Here is a 23,522-nt window from a genome sequence, read left to right as displayed (position 1 = left end):
GATGATCATTTGGATCATTTTTAATTTTCTTACTTTTACAAATGTAGCTTGGTGAAAAAAAATATTTAAAACCCAAACTGTCTGTAGCCACTTGTAAGGGAAGAAGAAAGGCATATTTCATAGCAGAGGGAAAACAAGTATCCATATTGCTTCCTTTTACTTGTAAATCTTGGTGGGTAAAAGAGAAAAGGAAGTCTGAAATGTGGAAACCTCCACCCATTTTCTGTACTGTTAAAGCTTGAGGCCAAATTAATGGTCCCTCCAGTAGTCTAGATGTTATCAAAGCTTTAGACATGCAAAGAAGGTCCAGGAATGGAGAGGGTTAGAAAGCAGAATTGTTCTGCATACCGAGAGACAAAGTAGCAAACAAACGGAAGGAGCGGTGTTTGCCTGTTTCTGCTTGCCAGGGTAATTTTACAAAGCCCCTGATTGTGAGGCCTGCAGCTCTCCAGAAAGATACTTTGACAAAACAGGATAGAGCACATCCCCCATGCCTCTTGTCTGAGTCACTATATTTCTTAAAAGTTAATTGACCCTAGCTAGCCCTTGCCTTTTCTTACACACGATAACATCTCATGGGCTTAGTCACTATGCTTCTACTACCTATAACCAAATGTGCTTTAGTAAACTGTAATCAAATGTACTCTTGCACCCAAACATAGATGTGATTTTGCATATACTTAACCTCCACCACCTACCTACCAATGGGCTGAAACACTGCTTTAGAGGAGTCCGACAGACCTCTCTGAAAGACTCCTCCTGGGCTATGGGCCTCAGTCTATAGTCCTCAGTAAGGACTGTGAATAAAACTTATTTTAATTCTTTAAAAGCTTGATTTTATTCCCCTTGGGTATTTTGACTGTCTCTAAATAGTCCATGGGAAAGCAAATCCTGAAAACACAGAACTGATAAAATGTCAGGAAATGCTTGAGGTGGAGAGAGAAGGTCAAGTGACAAGCAGGATACCAGAGCCCATGGAGAAATGTGGCCAGTGAGAAATTCTTCATGGGAAAGAGGACAAGAGGACAAAGGGCCTTTATGTATGAGAAAGTCTAATATTAATTTTTGAATGAGTCAGTTTGTGTGGTTGTAAAAAATCCACATTCAGATGGCTTGGGAGGTGTTTTTGTTGTTCTGCTTTGTCTTGTTTTATCTTGAAAAGATAGGTAAGGAAAGGGTATTGAATTTCACATGTACATTGGTTCAAGTCAAAAAGACAAGACAGGCTAAAAGAGGTGAGATGCAAGTGGGCTTGAGACAGAACCAGAGCTCTGAGCAAGATAGAAAGAACTGTGAGAAAATAAAACTGCCATAACTCACAGAAATCACAGGGAGGGCAATGTACATCTGACAGGGTTAGGATTCCCAGGTGAACTTCATTTAAATCTCAAGGCATAGGGTGACTGTTGGCTACTGACTCACGCAAATGGCACCGCTATGACATCCTTCCTGAACGTACACCTTTAAGTTTTTGTACAACTTTTTTTTAAATTCATAAGTATGTATTGACTTTCTACCATCCGCAAATGTAGCAATGAGAAAGCTAGTCAATTGTCTGAGATCCATAAAGATGATGTTTGCATTCTTTTAGTTAAATTGCCGAGTCAAAAAACATGATAACTTAAAAATTTGGAAAGCCATTTCGAAATGTTCTTTCTTATCTGGAGATTTGATTTTCATCCAGGCGTTGCTTTTATATTTTATATTTACTAATGGTGTGATGTGTTTCTCTATATTTAATTCTTATCCATTAAAATTGTATATTGATGTATCATGTGAATCCCTTAATTGATTTTTCCCCAAAACATCCAACTAGTTTTTTAGAGCCACAATTTATCCAGTAGTTCAACCTTCCACCACTGATTTGTAGCGCTTCCCTCATGATATTTTAACTTCTCTGTTTTAGTATCTGCTTCTGAGCTATTCTTTTTATTTCATTGATTTGCCTATCTTTTCTTATGCCAGAACCACAATTATTGTTTTAGCTATTATAGCTTTATGACTAAAGCAAGTACTTCCTCTTTCAGGAATAAGACAAGAATGTCTGCTCTCACCACTTCTATTCAGTAGTGTGCTGGAAGGGCAAGTAGGCAAGAAAATAAAACAAAATGCATCCAGATCGGAAAGGAAAAAGTAAAACTAACTCTTTCTATTTGCAGATGACATGATCTTGCATATAGAAAATACTAAGAAATTTACTTAAACTATTAGAACTAATAAATGAGTTCAGAAAAATTGTAAGATTTAAGATTAATAAACAAAGTGGTCCAGGTATATTAGCTTGTGCCTGTAATCCCAGAGCTTTGGAAGGCCAAGGCAGGATGATCTCTTGAGGCCACAAATTTGAGAGCAGCCTGGGCAACATAGCGAGCTTATGTCTCTTAAAAAAAAAAGGAAAGAAATAAAAATAAAAAGATTAACACACAAAATGAATTGTACTTCTACATGCTTTATTAAAAATCTGAAGAAATTAGAAAATAATTCCAGTGACAGCAGCATCAAGAAAATAGGAATTATAAAATAGAAATAGGAATAAATTTAGTAAGACAAAAGTAAGTCATTTTTGTTTGTTTGTTTTTTATTGTTGTTGTTTTAGAGACAGAGTCTCTCTCTGTCACCCAGGCTGGAGCACAGTGGCATGATCATAAATCACTGTAGCCTTGAACTGTGGGGCTCAAGTGATCCTCCAGCCCCAGCCTCCCAAAGTAGGGTAAATCTTGTACTCTAAAAATTAGAAAACATTGTTGAAAGAACTTAAAGAAGATCCAAATAAATGGAAAGACATACATGCTCATGGATCAGAAGACTAGATACTGTTAAGATGACAATTCTCCCTAAATTGATGTACAGATCCAACACAATCCCTAAAAATCCCAGCTGGCTTGTATGCAAAAATTGAGAAACTAAACACAAAATTCATGTACAAATGTGAGGCATCCAGAATAGCCAAAATAATCTTGAAAAAAAGGAAAAAGTTATAGGATCCCCACTTCCTGATTTTAAAATGTACTACAGAACTATAGTAATTAAGACAGTGTGGTGCTGGCATAAAGATAGACTTATAAATCAATAGTTCAGAATCGAGAATCCAGATATAACCCCTTATAATTATGGTCAATTGATTTTCAATAAGGGAGTCAAGACAATTCAATGAGAGAAAGAATAATCTTTTCAAAAATTGATGCTGGAACTGCTGGGTACCTACGTGTAAAAGAACAAAGTTGGACCCTTCCTCATACCATTTATAAAAATTTATTAAAACGGACCAGAGATCTAAATTTAAGAGCTAAAACTATAAAACTCTTAGGAGAAAATATAGGAGTAAATCTTTGTGACTTTGGTGTAGGCAAACCCTTCTTACATACAACACTCAAGATATAAGCAACAACAACAATAAAAATAAATTAGACTTCTTTAAATAAAAAATTTTGTGTTTCAAAGAATATCATCAAGAAAGTAAAAAGATAGCTTAGGTAATGGGAGAAAATATTTACAAATCATAGTTTGTAAGGGATGGTAGTGAATTATTGTCATTTTATGTTGTCTCGGCATCCATTTTAAATACTAGTTGGGCTTTTTTGTACCAGGTGGCTCTCAATTCCTATTGGTGTGCTGCCCTCCTCCCTCTAGGACCTGTGAGTAATACGCTGCTTCTGCTACTTCATGCATTTTGTTGTGCTGCCTCTTACATGGCTCACCTGACTGACACACCCAAATCTAACTTTTTTACTAGCCAGGGATCTCCTAGACAGTGGCCATCTTGGTAGGAATAAACTGGACACAGATCAGACAGCAACAAAAGCATCTGCCAGGATAAAGAAGTATCTCATGAAAGGACACTGTAAGCAGCCATGACCAAATTCCCTACAGCCCAGGGCTAGAGTTTATATAGTCTCTATCCTAAGAGAGATGTCAAGACTAAATTAGAAGGCCCTGGCATGGTGGCTCATGCCTGTAATCCCACTACTTTAGGAGGCTGAGTAGGGTAGATTGCTTGACCCCAGGAGTTTAAGACCAGCCTGGGCAACATGGTGAAGTTCTGTCTCTACTAAAAATACAAAAATTAGCCACCTGTGCTGGAGCACACCTGTAATCCCAACTACTTGGGAGGCTGAAGCAGGAGGATGTCTTGAGACTGGGAGGTTGAGGCTGCAGTAAGCCATGATCACATCACTGCACTCCAGCCTGGGCAACAGAGTGAGACCCGTCTAAAAAAAAAAGAAGGCTAATTTAGAGGAAAACATATAATGAAATAATAGTTCATTAAGTGTATCCATAGCACATAATGAACCCTTACTACTCGACAATACAAGAATAAATAACCCAATTTGGAGATGAGACCTAGATTCCCTTAGATAGCCTGTCTTGCCCTCTCTTCTGTCCAGTGCTGCCAGATCTCTGACCAGCAATGCAGTGTGGTCAAGTGAGAATGTCAAGAGCTGTTATAGAAGCAGAGATCTAGTTGAAGCTACTCTATCTAATGTTTACTCATGAAATCTTACCTGCCTAGCCCTAACCTCATGGAAAAATTGATCACCTGTGTTTTGGTGCCCCTCTATCTCATTCACACATCTCTTGAGGCATTTGTAGCATTTTCTTATACATTCGTATTCACATGCCTATGTTTTTCTTAGCAGCCTGATAACCATTAACATGTGTCTTTATCAACTGGCACAGCTCCTGGCACTAAGGGGAAGCTCAATGAACATTTGTGGAATGAAAATCTTTATAAGTGAAGTACTGTAGCCCAGAAAAGACTTGGATGGAAAGCCTAAGAGGGTCTAGAACCTTGAAGGAGACACACCAATAGAGAGGGGCAGTTGGAAGTGGGGGCGGTAGACTGGATCCAAGGACCAGGAGAAAGGTCTGTTAGGCAGAACATATGTTCAGGCAAACAACAGGTGCTGATCCAAACAAATAGTTGGCATCATGAGGGCTGAGCCAAAAGTACAGGGTGTCTCTAGAAGAGGAGGGTGTAGTTCCCAGGAGGTGGCAAACAGGCGCTTGTCAGGGATGCAGGCAGGTGGCTGGCGTAGGAAGATGTGATGGCAGGAAGTATCAACTTACCATCCCCAGCATCTAGCAGGTGCCTAACAAAAATGTTTGAGTGAATCAATGGCCCCTGCCCTCCAGAGGATTACAGTCTGGTTGAAGAACAAGGATATGATACATAATCTTTGAAATTAAGAGCTGTTAAGAGGAAGTCCCTCAGATAACAACTGGATGAGTATGTCCTGAATTCTCTCCTTGCAGCCAAACCAAAAGTTTCCTGCAAAGCTTTATGATACTTAAGTGATTTTGAGGAAAATACCAATGATAACATAAAATTCTTAAAAGTTTTCAGGTCACCTTTTTCCTGTTTCATTTCATGTCCTTCCTCATCTACACAGTCATGTATTTTAGTTTGTCGTTTCTTTCTTCTTTTCGAAACGTGGCCTCACTGGTTGGGCACGGTGGCTCACGCCTGTGATTCCAGCACTTTGGGAGGCCGAGGAGGGTGGATCACTTGAGGTCAGGAGTTCGAGATCAGCTTGGCCAACATGGTGAAACCCCGTCTCTACTAAAAATAAAAAATAAAAAAAATTAGCCAGGTGTGGTGGTGGGCATTTGTAATCCCAGCTACTTGGGAGGCTGAGGCAGGAGAATTGCTTGAACCTGGGAGGCGGAGTTTGCAGTGAGCCGAGATCACACCATTGTACCCCAGCCTGGCATCAAGAGTGAAACTCCATCTAAAAAAAAAAAAAAGAAAAGAAAAGAAAAGAAAAAAAAGAAAACAAAACAAAAACAAAAACAAAAACAAAAAAAGAAACATGGTCTCACTATGTCACCCAGGCTGGAGTACACAGACACCATCATGGTACACTATAGCCTTGAACTCCTGGGCTTAAAGGATCCTCCCATCTCAGCCTCCAGAGTCGCTGGGATTACAGGTGTGCAATACTGCACCTGGCTCTGTGGTTTCTTTTCTTTTTTTTTTTTTTTTTGAGACGGAGTCTCGCTCTGTCGCCCAGGCCGGACTGCGGACTGCAGTGGCGCAATCTCGACTCACTGCAAGCTCCGCTTCCCGGGTTCACGCCATTCTCCTGCCTCAGCCTCCCGAGTAGCTGGGACTACAGGCGCCCGCCACCGCGCCCGGCTAATTTTTTGTATTTTTAGTAGAGACGGGGTTTCACCTTGTTAGCCAGGATGGTCTCGATCTCCTGACCTCATGATCCACCCGCCTCGGCCTCCCAAAGTGCTGGGATTACAGGCGTGAGCCACCGCGCCCGGCCTGTGGTTTCTTAACTGTCCTTGTTATCAGCCCTGAAGAATGAAGCCCATTTTGCACAACAGCACAATTTCGTTTTAGCTTTTTTTTTAAAGTTATTTTCAGGCCAGTAGGGGAGATTCTTTCCTTCAAGCCAACTGAGACCAGTAAGTGTGTAGAACAGAGAAAGTTACTGAAAGAATTTGAGACTCCCTCATTCCCTTTCAATCTTTTCAATGCAAGTATGGTAACACGTTGGGGACAGCTAGGTCAATGATTCATTTAAAGGCAAAAATGACTCTGCAGAATTCAAAATCCCTAGGCCAAGGATGACATTAAACAGAGAAAACCAATCATGCATATTTTACACATTGATCTCTAGGGTAGAAATCAAAGAAACTCCCGTGCCACTCCAGATTTGTTTTATGGTCTACAATTTGGTTATGATAGATTTCTTCCACTTATAGTCACACAGTGGCCCCTAGAGAAATGGTCTATGAGAAAACAGTCTTCCTTTGTGAGAGTAAATATATGAAAAGCCTTGCAGTCCCCCTGCTAATAGTGCCTGCAGGTCTCCAGCAATTATATTCTCTACTTTGGGATGTGTAGATTAAATGAAAGGTTCTTATGTTATGGTAGTGTGGCCAGACATCTAAAGAGACAACATGCATCTATTAGAAAGGGTATAAGCAGCAAGCCTTACTGTAGCGTATTAAAGAACCAGCTAAGGAAGTCCAGGCTTGGCGGCTCATGCCTGTAATCCCAGCACTTTGGGAGGCTGAGGTGGACAGATCACTTGAGTTCAGGAGTTCAAGATCAGCCTGGGCAACATAGTGAAACCCTGTCTCTACCAAAAATACAAAAAATTAGCCAGGCATGGTGGCACAGACTGTAATCCCAGCTACTCAGGAGGCTGAGGTGGGACGACTGCTTGAGCCTGGGAGGTAGAGGTTGCAGTGAGCCGAGATTGGGCCACTGCACGCCAATCTGGGTGACAGAGTGAGACCTTGTCTCAAAAAAAAAAAAAAAGAACCAGCTCAGGAAGAAAAGGAAATGTTCTTGTATAGCTACACTTCCACAGCTATAGTTGTGAGCCTACGGTCACAGCTCACTGCAGCCTCAAGCTCCCAGGCTCAGGTCATCCTCCCACCTCAGCATGCCAATTAGCTGGGACTACAGGAGTGTGCCACCACGCCCAACTAATTTTTGTATTTTTTGCAGAGATGAGGTTTCACCATGTTGCCCAGGCTTGTCTCGAACTCCTGGGCTCAGGCAATTCTCCTGCCTTGGCCTCCCAAATTGTTAGGATTACTGGTGTGACCCACTGCGCTTGGCCAAAACTTAAAGTTTTATATATAATTCACACCCACTAGAATAGCCAAAATGAAAGTGTTGAAGAAGGTGTAAGGCAACTGAAACTCTCAAACATTATTGGGGCAATATAAATTGTATGACCACTTCAGAAAACTGTTAGGCAGTATCTTCCAAAGCTGAGCATACATAGGCCCTATGACATAGCATTTCCACTCTTAGGTATATGCCTAGCAGAAATGCACCATATAGTTACCAAATTTCACATAGTAGAAAGTCCATGGCAGCACTATTCAAAAAAGCCTCGAACTAGAAATAACACAAATGTTCAACAGAAGTAGAATGGATAAATAGATAGTGGTATTTTCATAATGGGATTCCATACAACAATAACAAAAAATAAACTACAATCTCATGTAACAATAAAAATGAATCTCACAATGTTGAGTGAAAAAAGGCAAATGAAGGAGTTATATATGTTGCCATTTATATAAAATTGAAAAACAGACAAATACAACAACTAGTGTATGGTGTTATAAATCAGGATACTTGTTACCCTTGGGAGGGGGCAGTGACTGGGAAGGGCATTAGGTGGGCCTCTGGGATGATATTCATGTTCTGTTTCTTCATCTAGATTTTGGGTACATGGGTATGTTCTCTTTGGGAAAATTCAGCGAGCCGTGCACCTGTGATTAGTGTGCTTTTCTCTATGTACTTTTACTTCAATAGAAAATTTACATAAAATGGTTTAATGTAATTATAGTCTGTATGTTTACTAGGCAGTTTTATGTAATTATAGCCCAGGATCATATTTGCAATAATAATCCAAATCTCAATCCTTCATGCTGCCCATAACTGCTGATCAGTAGGCTTTTATTTTTTCAGTGTTCAATTCTCCAGCTATATCTGAGAATTCCCAGAAAATACATAATTTTGGGGAACCATCAGTTTTTGGTGATCTCTTCGTCATGTATAATCAGGGGCTCTGTGGACCATCTCCTCTGTTGTCCACTGTTACTTTCATCATTTCCCGTGCTGGCCTTGCCACTGCTGTCCTTCTCTTGACATCTCTTTCTCTCTCCCAGTCTCCCGTGCCCTCTTCTCTCTGGCCAGTATATCCACATGTCCAGTTCTTTCAGAGAGGACTCCCTCAGCTCTGCCATGTGAGCTCTTAGATACAATTCTAGCATTTCTACCACTGCCTTACCCTCCCAGAGCTCACAGGTAGCCTGGGACCAAAGGGGGACTGCATGGAAGGGTAGCAAGTACCACTGGGCATTATGCCTGGAGCTCCTGCTCCTCTGACTCCAGACGCTACTGCTCAGTTGACCTGCTCTAGATACATTTCTTTATTCCTGGTCATCTGCTCTCGGGGGACCAGTTGAGAGTCCCTAGTGTCCTGCATCCTTCAGGGTTCTCCAGTTCTTTAGATAGCTCAGTAGACCTCTGAACCTCAATTACAGACAAGGCTCTAGTCCTTTCTAACCAGCAAATACATCACCTGAGCCTCTTGTATCCAGGACTTTACCAGTTTTGGAACTCAAAGTCCCACGAGCCCCTCAGTCCCAAGCAAATCAGGATGATTGGTCACCCTACTAATCTGGTTTCTGGGTCCCAGAATGGGCCCCACCAGAGACAGCTGGACATCTACTTCATTTTTCCCAAATCTCCATGGCAGTTAGGAGGCTTATGTGCCCAGAGCACACACAGGACCTTCAGGAACAGTGTTGCTCATGTCCACATGCAAGTCTATTGGTAAGGCCTGGACAAGCAAATTAAGAAACTGAGAATTAGAAAAAAAAAAAAAAATGAACTTGGACCCACAATCAGTTGAAGATTCTAACCTAAATGTGGCAAACCTAATTCTTCCTGGTCAACATATTTAGCCAACACATCTAACATTTCTAGCCAGTTCTTGTCTTCTGGCTTTCCAGTTAGGTCCTTACATAAAGACAAGGCTCACAGGGAAGTCAGCCCTATGATAAGGATTATCAGAGATCAGCAACAGAGGGAGGCAACTGGACACTGAATATCCTGGAGATCCATCAAGGAGAGAGCCCAATTCTTTAGAATGGGTGTCAACCAAGGAGAGAAAATTCTCATTCTAATGGGCTGCAGAGTGAAGTAAATAAGAGATTGATCCAGTAAAATTGCATTCAAGTTGGAAATTTGTTTTGTCATTAAAGCAGAAGAATAATGAAATACTAGCTAGCCCGTTGTTCTTAGATAACACTCTGTGAGTAGTGTTGATCTTAATGGTCCTTAAACATGTTCAGGTGAAAAATAGGCTGAGGTGAAAGTGCTCTTCACCAAAAATAAAACAAAATAAAAATTTGATAAAATACTGCTATGTTAAATGTTCACTAAAAGAATATATTAGTGCTCACACTAGATTTAGTATAAGTAAATGGTAAACAATTATAGATAGAACTGAGAAAATTTTCCCATTAACTTTTTTTTCCCTGGAGAAATGCCATTATTTGATTCAAATTCAGTTAAAAAAATTATGGTTTACAGAATAAGTAGAGGCTGAGTTTGAGAACTACTGCTTTAAGGAACAAGACTCCTTAGGAGTTGTACTTGGGTTTGCTTCAGATCTGTCTGTTTTCTTAAGCTAATAGAATACTTCCTACTACAGTCTTGGTGCTCTTAATTTACCTTACAAATTCTATTATTTATACAGTTCAAGGAGGAATCAGATGGCCAATTTATTGAGGTTTCACTCTGTGGAACAAAAGCTAGTTTCCCCTTCCTCAACATGGTCGGGCTTACTTCTTATTCTCATGCTTCTAGTATTCGCAGGCGATGACAGAGGGCTCCTGGGTGACTGTGTATACTTGCTGCAATGCAGAGCCCAGGGATGTGGTCCCACAGCCAACAAGCCTCATTCAGCAACTAAGGAGGTGATTTATTGGCGGGGGGAGAGGGGATGAAGAAGAGCCAGTTGCAAATGAGTGTCCTGTGACTCTAAAGGACGATGTTGTTGGTAAAGAGCCATGAAGGTCATCCTGTTGGCTAGCTTGGCTTACCAGCTGGAGGGCTGCTGTGCCTAGAGCTTAGCAAGCTCAGTTACAACTCTTTTGCAGTGGGAGAGGCTTCAGTGAGAAAGGCTGATGATATCTTACTGTATTTCAGCGTGATATGGTGTTGACAACAGGTCCTACATAAAATTGTGGGGCCTGGCAAAGCATCCCACTATTGGCCCTGGTAAGCCTTCTCCACTGTGTCCCACCTCCAACACCTAGCCTGCTCTCTCTAAATTGCTTTGACTTATGAAGTGCAGACTTGGCCCAATTTGTAACTACTTCTTTTTCAATTTCCTCAGGAGCAAAATTATCTCACAATGCAGTTGTTGACCAAATGAGGTAACACAACCAGGCATGGTGGCTCATGCCTATAATCCTAACACTTTGGGAGGCCAAGATGGAAGGATGCTTGAGGTCAGGAGTTGGAGACCAGCCTGGGCAACACAGCGAGACTTCGTCTCTACTAAAAATAAAAATTTATCTAGGCATAGTGGTGCACACCTGTAGTCCCAGCTACTCAGGAGGCTGAGGCAGGAGGATCAATTGAGCCCAGGAGTTCAAGGCTGCAGTGAGCCATGATCATGCCATTGCACTTCATCCTGGAGGACAGAATGAGACCCTGTCTCCAAAAAAAAAAAAAAAAAAAAAAAAAAAAAAGAGAGAGAGAGAGAGAGAGGTAGCATGAGAGGCTTGGAAAGAGTAAGTTAACTCTTTCCAACTGCTCACAAGTTAAATTCATCTTGGTTAATCCTAGTTGGAGTAGTGAAACAGAATTCAACTGTGTTTCGTAAACCTCCATGAGGGGGCTCCCTTTCATTCCAAATTCAGTGTGTGGAGTTCAGTGCTTTTTTCTTATAGCCTTAAGTGAAGGGATGGAACAGAGCACGTTGCCTCATATCCCCTCAGCCCAGAAATTGGACATGGTTCTCACTTAAGATTATGACTAGCAAAGGTCCTTTTTCTGTATGCCTTTAGCAAATAATCCTCTTAAGAACCTCAAAAACTCTGTCAGTTTTGAAATCCATTTTTATGGGGCAATATTATGGCCGCACCACAGACAAACAAGTGATAATACATGCATAAGTCTCAACTACAACAGAGTGTGGGAATGGAGATAGAAGCCACTTCATGAGGGGACAAAAGAAATTGTCAAAGGTTGGAATGCTTATGGAAAATCTATTTTGTGCTAGGTGTTTTATAGATGTTTAATTTAATCTTCTGTAACAGAGATTGGTAAACTGTGGCCCAAAGATCAAATTCAGCTAGCTGACTTTTTGTAAATAAAGTCTTATTGGAACACAGGCTTGCTAATTTTTGTTGACGTATTGTCAATGTGCTTTCACCATACAATGGCAGAGACTGCATGGTCCATAGACTAAAATCTTTACAATCTGGCTCATTACAGAAAAGGTTTGCTGATCCCTGCTCTATAGCTGTGTGAGATGGGAAGTATTTACATTTTAGGGATGAATAAACTGAAACTCAGAGAAATTAAGTAGCCCAAAGTCACACTGCTAATAAATGGCAGAGCTAGAATTTGACTCAGGCTGACCTTATTTCCAAAGCTCTCACTCTTTCTGCTATTGTTGCACACAAACCTCCCCAGTTTATTAAGTGCCTATGTAGGCCTGGTGTTTTACGTTGAATCTTATTTATTTTAATGAATTCAAACTGCTGTGCATTGTTTTCAAGGATCTGCACAATCCAATTTCAGCTTGACTTTCCTGCCCCATCTCCTACTCCTCCCCTAGTGGGCCTAGCTAAAGTCAACCTGGTGCTGTTGCTGTTCCCAAACACACCTTTCACTTCCTCTCTCTGTGATTCATTTCATGATTCCACTACCCAAAAATAAACAGCTCTCTCAGTTTTCAGAACCGGCCTTCTTCCAGGAATCCTACCTTGACCACCCGCTGAGAAGTGCTCTCTCTCCCTCTTCTGACATGAAGAGCAGTTATTCTTCCTGGTGGTTTAGTGCTGATCATATGCTGCCTTCGATTATCTTTTTACAGGCATGTCTTATCTTCCAAAGGAGGCTGTAAATTTCCTGAGTGTGAGGACTGTGCACACTCCTCTCCACACCCTGGTAGAGTGTGTCATCTGCATTGGTGTTGTATAATGGTAGGTCAATTTGATGAATGAACACTCTTCCATTGAAATAAACCTGGCTTGCCCTTCCACACAACTCAACATGTAACCGAAAGCACAAGACCAGCACCTGGATGTGGGGTATAATGCGTGATGAAATGAAGAAAAATGCAGGAAAAAGTGTAAGGAAATAAGCATCTCACCTCTATTTTTAACTCTTTAACCTGCAGGGTAAAAAAAAAAAATGTAGCATTAGCTTTCCTTTCAGCCATGTGAGCTAACAGTGCCTTTCCTAGGACAGCAAAGTGATTTCCACCATGAGATCTGGAGGCAGGCCTGGGTTGGAAAATCTCTGCTATTTATTGGCTGTGTACCTTGGGCAAGTTACTGAACCTCTCTAAGCTTCAGTGTCCTCATATGTACAATAAAGAAAGTAATAACTGCCTAATTGGGTTGATGGGAGAAGCAAATGAGGAAATACCCTTAAGACTTTTAGTTCAGTCTCTGGAATATATTACACTCTTAATAATTACCAGCTATTATTTTTCCATAGCACCATCCCTAGATGGGCACCAGATCTAAATATTTAAGACCAACTGAACTCTGTCCACCTACTGCTGTGCATTAACCATCCTTCCTGACTGTGTCATCAAACAACACTACTACAAGGTGGCCCATTGCAATCTGAGGGCTTACCAAAGAAGGGGATGATGAATACCCTACCTACAGCATCTATATTTTAATGAGACGTGAGAAGCAGGAAAACAAATTTCATCTCTTTCCCTGCTCTCTAAACACTACTTATAGCAGACATGTGGTTCCTTCTCTAACTTTAGGGTTTTTTTGTTTGTTTTGTTTTGTTCTTTTTCTTTGGCTTCTGTCAACTCTACCTGACATGTAGTTCTAAACTGGAGATAGAATTAAGAAACAGTCATGTGTCCTGGTCTGCTAATGCAATGTCTCAGGGTCTCTTGGGTAAACTCTCTTTGATAACAATATCTGCCACCTTCTAGAGAACCCAGTACCTCTGCTTTGCTCTACTGTTACCTTTAGCCCTGCCCACCCATTCCTTTCTTCCCTATACTTTCTCAGCTGGTTATCAGTTCAGGGCACACCTGAGTTTTCAGATTTAAGTACCAACTCTACAATAGGATGAGGAATTGGGGTTGACGTAAGCAACACACAGATAGAGAAGCTACTGGTATTAACCATTAACCAGCTTGCTTAGCTGAACTCTGGCTTGACAGCTCGTATCTCTTTCTCTTTCCACTTGGTCTAATTTTTCAACATTGTTCTTAATAGCTGTCTGAACTCTTACAATAGTTACTCCCCTGGATTCTGTGCTTACAAAGCCTGTCACATAATCCTTATCTCTAGAGATCCCAGCCTGGTATAAACTGTCGTTCTGGTTTTCTAGCCTCTTCACATGGAGGAATCCCAAATATCCTAACAGATGTAGCTAAGAATATAATCCCAGGTAATCATCCGTCTCCCACCTGGCCCTGCATTCCATTTCCCCTCCAAAAAAGTCTTAAGATATATAATAACTCTCCATAATGCTTCCATTTATTTTTAATGAGTACACAGGATGACTGGTTCCTTTTTCAGTTGACCTTTTGAAGCTGTTAAACTGGTTTCTCTATATCAACAGCTGAAACAAATTGCCATGAATAAAATCTCACAGGGGAAAAACGTGAATGGAGAACATACTGGTATAATTTAAGCCCATAAGACACAATTATACAGGACAAAAGTCCCCATTGCATGGACATGGATGGAGGGAAACATTTTATAGCCTAATCTGGGAAATCTCTGTACATAACTGTAAGTGTTGATAATTAAAGCAACTATTAAAGAATCCATTGCTAATGGATGAAGTGCCTCCAGAAGCAGCCAAGAGAAACTGAAGCTATCATAGTGAGTCCTACAGTAGGAAAGGGATACAAAGTTTGAAAAATAAGAGAGCTAATATAGTTAAAGTTGTGAACCAGAAAAGATTTCTGGTTGAGAAGAGTCAGGAAGTTAAGCTGGGAAGTGAGTGCAGCTGGAGTACTAACTACACGACAAGGGAAAGTCTACTTCGGGGATCAGGCCCAGCAAGAGGCTCAGTGAGGTTGTTGGGAGGGAGGCTTACAGAGCCAGGGCACTGAGAGCTGGCCAAGACTTACCTCTACTGGAAGAGCACCAGCTCTGTGTCCACTCTGGGTTGTTGTCTACCTCTTAAAAAGTTTCTGCTTGATGAGAGCATGTGGCTCCTGAAGAGTCCCTCTGAGTTTTGTAGAAGAGAGAGGGGGAGGGCTACATTCCTGGAGGGACTCCTGAACTGCTCTGTGTGCAGCACAGCTGGAAGCACTCGGTGGGACAGGCAAAGCATGAGGCAACATCCCTGTGCCAAAGAGCTTCAAACTGGGGAGACAGAACCAATAGATTGCATGAAACATCCCAAGAGCCAATTAAAACAGTATAAAATGAAACGAGTATTTTGTGGTCCAGTTTATCAGAATGATAGGCATTCATTGGGGGGAGGAATATATAGTAGGGAAAGGGGAATTTAGAGAGAGAAAAAAAACCTGTAAAATGGAAAGCTGAGCCCCAGCCACTGAATAGAAGTCTTAAGAGTGAGATCCAGTCCCTAGATAATTTGGTGTCCCTCCAAATTAATATCCTTTTGCAGCAAGAGATGTGAAAGTTGATGATTATTCTCATTAATAAAATAAAATATCTCTTTATGCTCAAATAGGGGATTTGCTATATGCACTAACTAGAGCAGAATATTCTACTTATTTGGAATTGTTCTTTGCTTCACAATTTTTCTAGTGTTCATAACTAGAAAGCATTATTCACTCACGCTCACAAAGGGCAAAGATAACTTGCTTGGTGTAGTTACACAGGCTTGGTCAAAATATTTTTTCTGAAAGTGCTATGAGGATAGCGAGACCACTGGTGGCATACGAAAAGTGAACTTTACTTTTTAATCTAAATGCTTAATGGTAATTCCTTCATAGCAAAAATGTATTCACACATCACTTGCAGAATCTATACACAGGAATATGTTTTTAAAGTTTCTCCTGTATTAGTTATTTATTTATTGGCTCTCATACCAATAAAACATTTGCCACATTTCTATAGTTTTTGTTCTCCAGTTTTCATTTCAATTGTCCAATTAGATAATCTCAATGGGAGATATACTAAATGAATTAAAATTAATAGTCTAAAAAATATCTTATTCCCTGTGCTATGCCACACATTGTTCAGTTTCAGAATTCAACTGCTAGCTTCTGATCTTCTTAGGATTGGGATAGGACTCTAATTACACCAAGAAACATGCATGTATATATCGCAGATAAATCTGCAGCCCTAGGAGTGTTTTTACATTTCTATCCAAACACACTTCCTTCTTAAGTGGGAGTAAAAACTAATTTACATTTCATCACTTGTGTTGTAGTGTTGGTAAAAACTTGAGTTAAATAGGACTGAATCTCTGATTAATTCCAGTAATATTTTAGTGCATCCATGAATTGAGGCCTGGGGCAGCTGAGTCTGCCCTTAGTCTGGTCCTCACTTTGTAACCATGCTCATGTCACTGAAACTCTCTAAACTCATTTTTCGCATCTGTAAAATGTGGATATTAATATCTACAGAATCTACTTCATAGGGCCACTCAAAGCTCAAATGAAATAATGAATGTGAAAACATTTTTGCAAAGAGGACGATGTTGGACATCTGTAGGCTATTATTTCACTAGTGAAGGAGAATATGAGATTATTAAAGAAATATTGCAAGGAGAATCCTGTCTTACAAGACTCCTTGACTTCTTGTCAAACAACTCTCTTAAATCCATGGTTCATAATATATGAGGGCATGGGGTGTTATTGGAGAGAGCAATGGCTTGCCAGTGTGTGACACTAGGTCAAGTCTCCAGCACCGTACTAAACTGAAATGCGTGAATTTGGGTAAATCACTTAACCTCTTCAGTTTCTTCATTTGTAAAATTAGATGTTTGGATTAAAACCCTTATGTATTCTAGATAGCATGGATAGCATGCTTTTCAGATCGAGATACTTAGGATTTGCTGAAATATGCATACTGCAAGCCCAAGCACCTGTCTTCTTCTTCTTCACTGATGTATCCTACAGTGTCATACACTAGGCCTGATATATAGCAGTGCTCAGTAAAAATATATGTTGAATATAAGAATGACAGTTCAATCACTGTATCAACTGATTTATGGGGTAATTTTATATAATTTAATGTACTTTTATTTCTTTCAACAAAGGTGAATGGTTAAATATCAAATTCCATGTAATTAATAAGAGCTACTTTTCTGAGACTTATTACCTAAGTAAGTCCACAAGTCCAAAAAATGATTCTGATTTTGGTTTGAAGAAAAAGACCAGCATGCCTTAAAAGGGATGTAATATTTAAATTCAGGATTTTCTGGAACTTGGCTTTATTGCCTTGTCTATGCAATTTCTTCTAGCAGTAAAATGTTAAGATCTAAAACAGCCAACTTTATTTTTACTCCTTCCCACCCTCACCCTCACCCCCTCATCCTGGACCCATTTTGGCCTTCCAAAATGCTCTGTAGATCTTCTGAGTGACAAGTTGTTTCTAGGCTCAGGATCTTTATACTTAAGATTCCTTTGATCCCAAATCACTTCCCTCCTTCCTCTGTACCTGGCCAACTCCTCCCCCTTCCAGGCTCAGCTAGAAACTTTGTCAGAAAATGTTTCCTGGCCCCTAAGACTATGGTAGGTGCCAGTAGCACCCTGGACATTTTTCTAATGTAGTGTGTCTATATCAGGTCATTTATCACATTAGATTGTCATTAAGAAATTAACGTGAAGAAGGTCAGAGCACAGACACTGGAGCTACACTGTTTGGGTTCTGAGCCAACTAGAAGATGAAATGGGGAAGGAAGGTAAATTGGGTGAGGGTGGTAACAATAGTACCTGCCTCATAAGGTTGTCAAGAGTATTGAATGACTAAAGGGTTCATATACAAAGCATATTGAACAAGGTTTAGCACACAGTATTAGAATCAGCAAATACCAGAATATCTGAGATTCTGATTCTGGCACTAAATATTATTATTACCTGTTTGGTCAACTCGAGTCTATAAGCTCTTTGAGAGGAGAAACCATATTTTATTCACTATTGTATTCCTAGCACTGTAAATGCTCCATAAATATGTATTGAATAAATAGATTTATCTTTTCTCCTTCACTGAAGCCATATCTCCTTAGTTGATCAGAAACAATAAACCTGGTGATGAAGCCACAATGCTTCCAGAGAAAAGACGAGTAGGTGGGGCGTGCTAGTCAAGTCAGTTAGATGCCAAAGCAGTTTTATTGAGAATAGGAGAAAGTTTTGGTGACACCACTTAAAAAGCTGTGACTGGTGGTACGTTATAAGAAAATTAGCATGCCAATGGAAATGAAACTGAGACTACTGAGTGTAGACACAGTAAAAGAAAACAAAGCAGTTTACTGCCTCATTCAGCCTACAGGGATGGAGTCATTTACTTTTAGTCTATCTACTGGTATAGAGAGTCTGTATGTCATTACCGTGATACTGTGTCCACTATCCACACTCCTCAGCATGGTTCACAATGGCATTCTGGGTCCGTTCCTACTTCTCCAGTCTCAGGCAATGTTCTTCATTTCAGCTGCCCTGTCCCACCTTTCACAGCATTGCAGGTCTTTGCCCTTACCTGAAGTGCCTAGCTCCTTCCTCAGAAAACCTACATCTACGCTTAAGACTTGGCTCAGGCGTCACCACTGGGGAAGTGATTTCTGACACCCCCAATTTCTTCAGCACCCATTATCTGCTATGCAAGCTCAGTGATAACAGCTCTGTCTCCTTGCGTGGTTATCATTCTTTCACTGGACTGTGCTCACGGCTTGAGTCTTCATTTTGGTGTCCCTCGCGCTGAGCACTGTGCAGGGAAGAGAGCAGGTGCAAATTAACACACTATGTTTTCTACTATTGAATGAATAAATGGATGGAACCATATTTTGTTCACTGTTGAAGGGATGGATGGATGGGGCTTCCTGGCTTTCGCTTTCACACTCTGACTCTGAATGTTCCCATTTTTCCTTCTGATTACGTGGACTTAAATTCAGCCTCTGAATCCGACTGCTGAACGATCTTGGGTAAATACAGCCTCTCAGAGCCTTATTTTCCTTATTTGTGAAATACAGATTATGTGAATATTAAACACATTAGATGGTTCCTGGTTTATAATAAATTTCATGTAAATGATCAGACTATCTGCAAGTAACAGTTTTGTATCTTCATTTCTAATCTTTATACATTTAACTGTCTTTTCTTGTTGGGTTGGAATAGATTTCCAGTACCAAGTGGAAGAGTAGCAGTGATATTGAGTATCCTTTTCCTGTATCTAATCTGAGAGAGAGAGAGAGAGAGCATCAAAAATTTCTCCATTAAATCAGATACAGATTTGTTTAAAAAGCTTAGTAAACTAAATATCTTTCTAGTTTTTGGAGTGTGGAGGTGAGTAAAATCTACACCTTGACCTATGTTATCTACTTTTCCTGTAACTCACAATTGATTTTCCTTCTCTTCCCAACCTTGAGGGATTAGAGGTTCCAGGCTATATGAAGCCCAGCAAAGAAACAGTGTCTTTGCCTTTAGCTAGGAGAAACATTTGTAGAAGGCAGGATGTTTTAGAGCCAGTCTTCAGCCCAGCTAATCCCAGTGATAACATCCCCTCCTCCTCCCTCCACTTCCTTTGGGAAATACTTTCACTTTCCCCTTCCCTAAATTCTCCTGTAGGGAATAAGATATACTTCAAAATCTGAAAATGTTAATGAAATATGCACTTTTATACATTACGTTTCAATAAAAATTTACTTTGAAAAAGTATATCTAAGACAAGTTGTCCACAAATGAACAGTGATGTTCCTCACAGCTGCTTTAAAAATATTCATTAAGTGTATACAGCAAATTTCTTATGAGTTCCTACTGTAAAAGCTGAGCACAGTGTTGGACTCTTGGGACAAAATTAGGAATGATACAGACATAGAGATCCCTACTCTTGTGGAGTTTCCAGCTAGTTGCAAGAGAGAAAAAAGCCAGGTAAACAAAATTTAAAGCGTTTTGAATAGAAGAAAACAAAGGACTAGCAGAAAATAAAGGGGGCTACTTCAGATAGAGTGGCCAGAGAAAACTGCTATAAGCAGGTGACATTTAGGTTTAAGATGAGAAGGAGCTACCCACAGAAAGGCTGGGGCTGGAGGTGGAGTGTTGACTCCAGGCATAAATGGGGGAAAGGCCCTGATCTGGGTGGGAATAGAATATAAGTTTTAGGACTTAAGATGAAGCAGCTAAATGCCACCAGGACACAAAACAAAACATAAAATTGGAAAACCAAGCTGTGTGTTACCTACTAATAAACCAACCAGGCTAAACAATCACTTTAAGGAATGAATTTGTTTGTTCGTTTGTTTTTGATAGAGACCAAGTCTCACTTTGTCACCCAGGCTATAGTGCAGTGGCATGATTAGAGCTCACTGTAGCCTTGACCTCCCAGGCTAAAGCAATCCTTCTGCCCCAGCCTTCCAAGTAGCTGGGACTACAAGAATGCACTACCATGTACAGCTAAATTTTTTATTATTTTTTTTTTGCAGAGATGGGGTCTCACTATGTTGCCTAGGCTGGTCTCAAACTCCTGGGCTCAGGGGATCCTCCTACCTTGGCTTCCCAAAGTGCTGGGATTATAGGTATGAGCCACCATGCCCAGCCTTTTTTTTTTTTTTCCGAAAGAACCAATACAAGAATGAAAACATGGCTGAGTTCTCCTAATAGGCACTGAGTGATCCATGTGTCCCCATCATTTATGTCCTAGAAAGTGGTCAGTTTACCACACATAGTCCTAATTCTCCAGCCTGGATTATGGAGTTAGGGAGCTGGCGGTGGGAACCACAGTGTCTCTAATAAGGAAAAGAACATTTCACTGGAAGCTGTTTTTCATGTGAACCTACCCCTTTTCCCCTGTCTTGTTCTCACATCCCTCTTTCCTGAGTAATTTGACCACGAAAAATTCCAAAAAACATTAAAATTCTGAGTTTGCTCAGAACTATTTCTGTTGAACTAGGCAAAAATCCAATTCAAATCAGATAAATAAAATGGTGGGGGAGGAGAATTTAATGGTTCCCAGAACTAAAAAGTGCAAGGATAGATTTCGAAATGCTTGGAATGAAGAGCTCAAGTCAATTTCTCTTTTTCTGTGTCTCCCTGTCTCAGCTCTTCCACTCTCTGTATTGACTCCACATTCAGGCTATACATTCCAGCATGTTCAGCTTAATGTTATTTTTTTCAACTAGCAATTCCAACAGAGAAAGAGGGCTTCTTTGATTTTATCTTCTGGGTCATATGCCCATCTCTGACACAATTACTGGTCTGTGAGCTATGGGAGGCACTGATTGGCCAGGCCTGGGTTATAGATCCAGCCTCAGAACTGGGCGATGAAGTGGTAGAGGTAGGGAAAGATAGACCCTCTTCCAGACAAGACTAAAGTTGAAGGAGGGGTTGTTCCTCAGAAGGAAAATTAGAGTGCTGTTACAAGAAAGTGGGAATGAATGCTGAGCCGTCAAAAAATAGCAGCCACACTTGACAGTTCATCTCTTGGCTTCCCTTCTTCCATACAGTTTTTAAAATGCCCCCACTTAATAGCATGCAATTATTCTACATATGCATGAAAATGCATTCACCCACAATCCAAAAGGTAAATGCATTTTCACATGTCTAACTCGTTTCATTTCTCTTGTTTTTTCTTTGTGTCTAGCTCCCAGTCCATTACCGTTAAGTGATTTTCATTCTCTCTTTCTGACAACATATGACAAAACTACAAATCTGATTACTCCCCACATAGTCAGTATAAAACAGTAGAGGGTAAAATTGAGTAACTCCTACAGGAAAGCAAGGAAAGGGTAAATAATCAGTATGGAGACTGTACCATAGGATGTGTTACATTCTGCTAATTAGAAATAGCAAGAATTATCTGCCTCACAGGAATTGAGTTCTTTGGCCAATTTAGCTACCTTCAGCTTTACTCTCAGAAAGGATTCCTGTTGACTATTTTCCTCCATGATCACAACTGTAAAGGGAATTGAGAAGGATTCCCGTTCTTGGGACCGAATTGTTTTAGCCACCCCCCGCCTTCTCTTGTATTTCAGAGGTATGGAGTCTATCTACGCTCTAGACCCTGTCCTGGGAGTTTCTGTCTTTTAAGGAAAAGCCTTAGAGATGACTCATTTTAACAGTCTTCAGTTTAACAGCCACCATCTTGGCCTCTGCCTAGGGCAACTTGAAATAACTATCTGCAGATGAGGAGGACTAATGGAGTGGCCTTTTGATGCAAGATGGTGTCCTAGTAGATAGCTCTTTAATTAGGGTGACCTGCTTTAGAGCTGTCACCTAGGTATAATTATTAATAGCACCCATACTCACACTCAGAATTGTCCCATTTTGATAAGAAATGATATGGTCACCCAATTAAAATGGGGTTAATTCTTCCCTTCCTCTGGCAGGAACAGCACAGCAGGAGGAGTTTGATGTAGACTCAGGAGACAGTCTATTATCAGTTTTTTACTTATGCCTTTGCTGTCACTGTGTAAGAGGCAGAGGATTTTAGTTTTCTAACGTGGCATGGCTCAATATATCTGACTCCAGACCATTTGGGTTTGCTGGCTACTGGTAGAAGGGGAATCTTTTAATCACACTGTAATTTTTTCCTCTCTGCTACTACATAGGCCAGTTTCAACATTAGCATGGCTTTTTCTTTGGAACATTTATAAAAACTATAAGTAGACCAAACTCTCTAAAACCCTGACATTTGTCAATCAAGACCTCTCAAACTCCACCCTGGAAATGCTGGGGTCTGAGACCTCTCACTCAGTTTCCTGGCTACCATATCACAAGAATTTCCAGTTCTCTAGCCTGGCACAGAGGGATCTTTCCTACTTTCACCATTTCTCAACTCAGCCAATTTTACATTTAAGGATCTGCACTACAGCATCCCACTTCCAGCTATATAGAACTCTTTTGGCTGCAAGAGATAGAACTTAACCCAAAATAGCTTAAGCCCAGAAGGGAATGTTTTGGCTCATGTAACTAAAAAGTCTAAGGGTACCTTGGCTTCAGGCATGATCAAACAAGTCATAAAAATTTGCTTATGCATACATCCCTTCCCACACCCCTTTTCTCAGCTTTGTTTCCTTTAATAGCTTATCCCTCATACAACACTGAATTGGCTAATTGGCGGGTCTTGATCACTACCTGCCAATGAAGTGGAGGTGAAGATGGGCTCTGCCCTTCTCTAAACCACAAGACCTAAGGGTGGAAATGGGGTTTTTTCTCAAAGGTGCTGTTACCAAAAAAAGGGAAAGGGATGCTTGCTAGGTTAAGAAAAACAACAGAGGTCCATCCATTTTATACTTGAAAGCTTAAAAAAATGTAAGCAAATCTGTCCAGACTCAACTCTCTGAAAGATGAGGATGAGAATCATTATTTACTTTGCCTCAAAGTGGTGAAGAAGAAAAAGAAAAGGGCAAGGGTAAAATTTTTTTTAGTTTAAAGATGAAATGAAAATCCACAGGCTTGAAAGTTTGGACTTTCCTGAAGTTGTGGTGTGCCTTTCCAACCTATTGTCAACTTGGAAAAGACTTAATCTTCAACAGTGGAGGAAGCCTCCATTCTCTCCTTTCATTCACTTGTCTGTCACCTTCCCCTGAGGGCCTCAAGGGCAGGAGAGAGCATATGACAAGGAGGAAAGAAATGCCATTTCCTTCTGGTCTCAGACTCTGCGTATCTTAGCTGGGAATATGCAGT

At 40.5% G+C, this 23,522-nt stretch overlaps 1 long non-coding RNA gene across 1 annotated transcript, besides 2 other annotated features; it reads right to left on the bottom strand.

The window, feature by feature from the left end:
* Positions 1 to 3,236: 3,236 nt before the first annotated feature.
* Positions 3,237 to 15,053, bottom strand: LOC124904390 (uncharacterized). Its single transcript, XR_007066508.1, has 2 exons — positions 14,838 to 15,053; positions 3,237 to 5,560 (listed from the first exon to the last, which is right to left on the bottom strand). It is a non-coding gene; the product is annotated as an uncharacterized LOC124904390 (long non-coding RNA).
* Positions 12,254 to 12,303: an enhancer, noted in NCBI's record as "active region_1595". NCBI's record gives its function as "activates an Ori minimal core promoter by ATAC-STARR-seq in GM12878 lymphoblastoid cells {active_cell/tissue: GM12878}" and the evidence as "EXISTENCE:reporter gene assay evidence [ECO:0000049][PMID:35858748]".
* Positions 14,791 to 15,085: a silencer, noted in NCBI's record as "tiled region #8207; K562 Repressive non-DNase unmatched - State 21:Repr". NCBI's record gives its function as "represses a minimal TATA promoter and a strong SV40 promoter by Sharpr-MPRA in K562 cells {active_cell/tissue: K562}" and the evidence as "EXISTENCE:reporter gene assay evidence [ECO:0000049][PMID:27701403]".

This window comes from Homo sapiens, chromosome 1 (genome assembly GCF_000001405.40).
Source record: "Homo sapiens chromosome 1, GRCh38.p14 Primary Assembly".
Lineage (NCBI taxonomy): Eukaryota > Metazoa > Chordata > Mammalia > Primates > Hominidae > Homo > Homo sapiens.
This window is presented reverse-complemented; position numbering and strand designations above follow the sequence as displayed.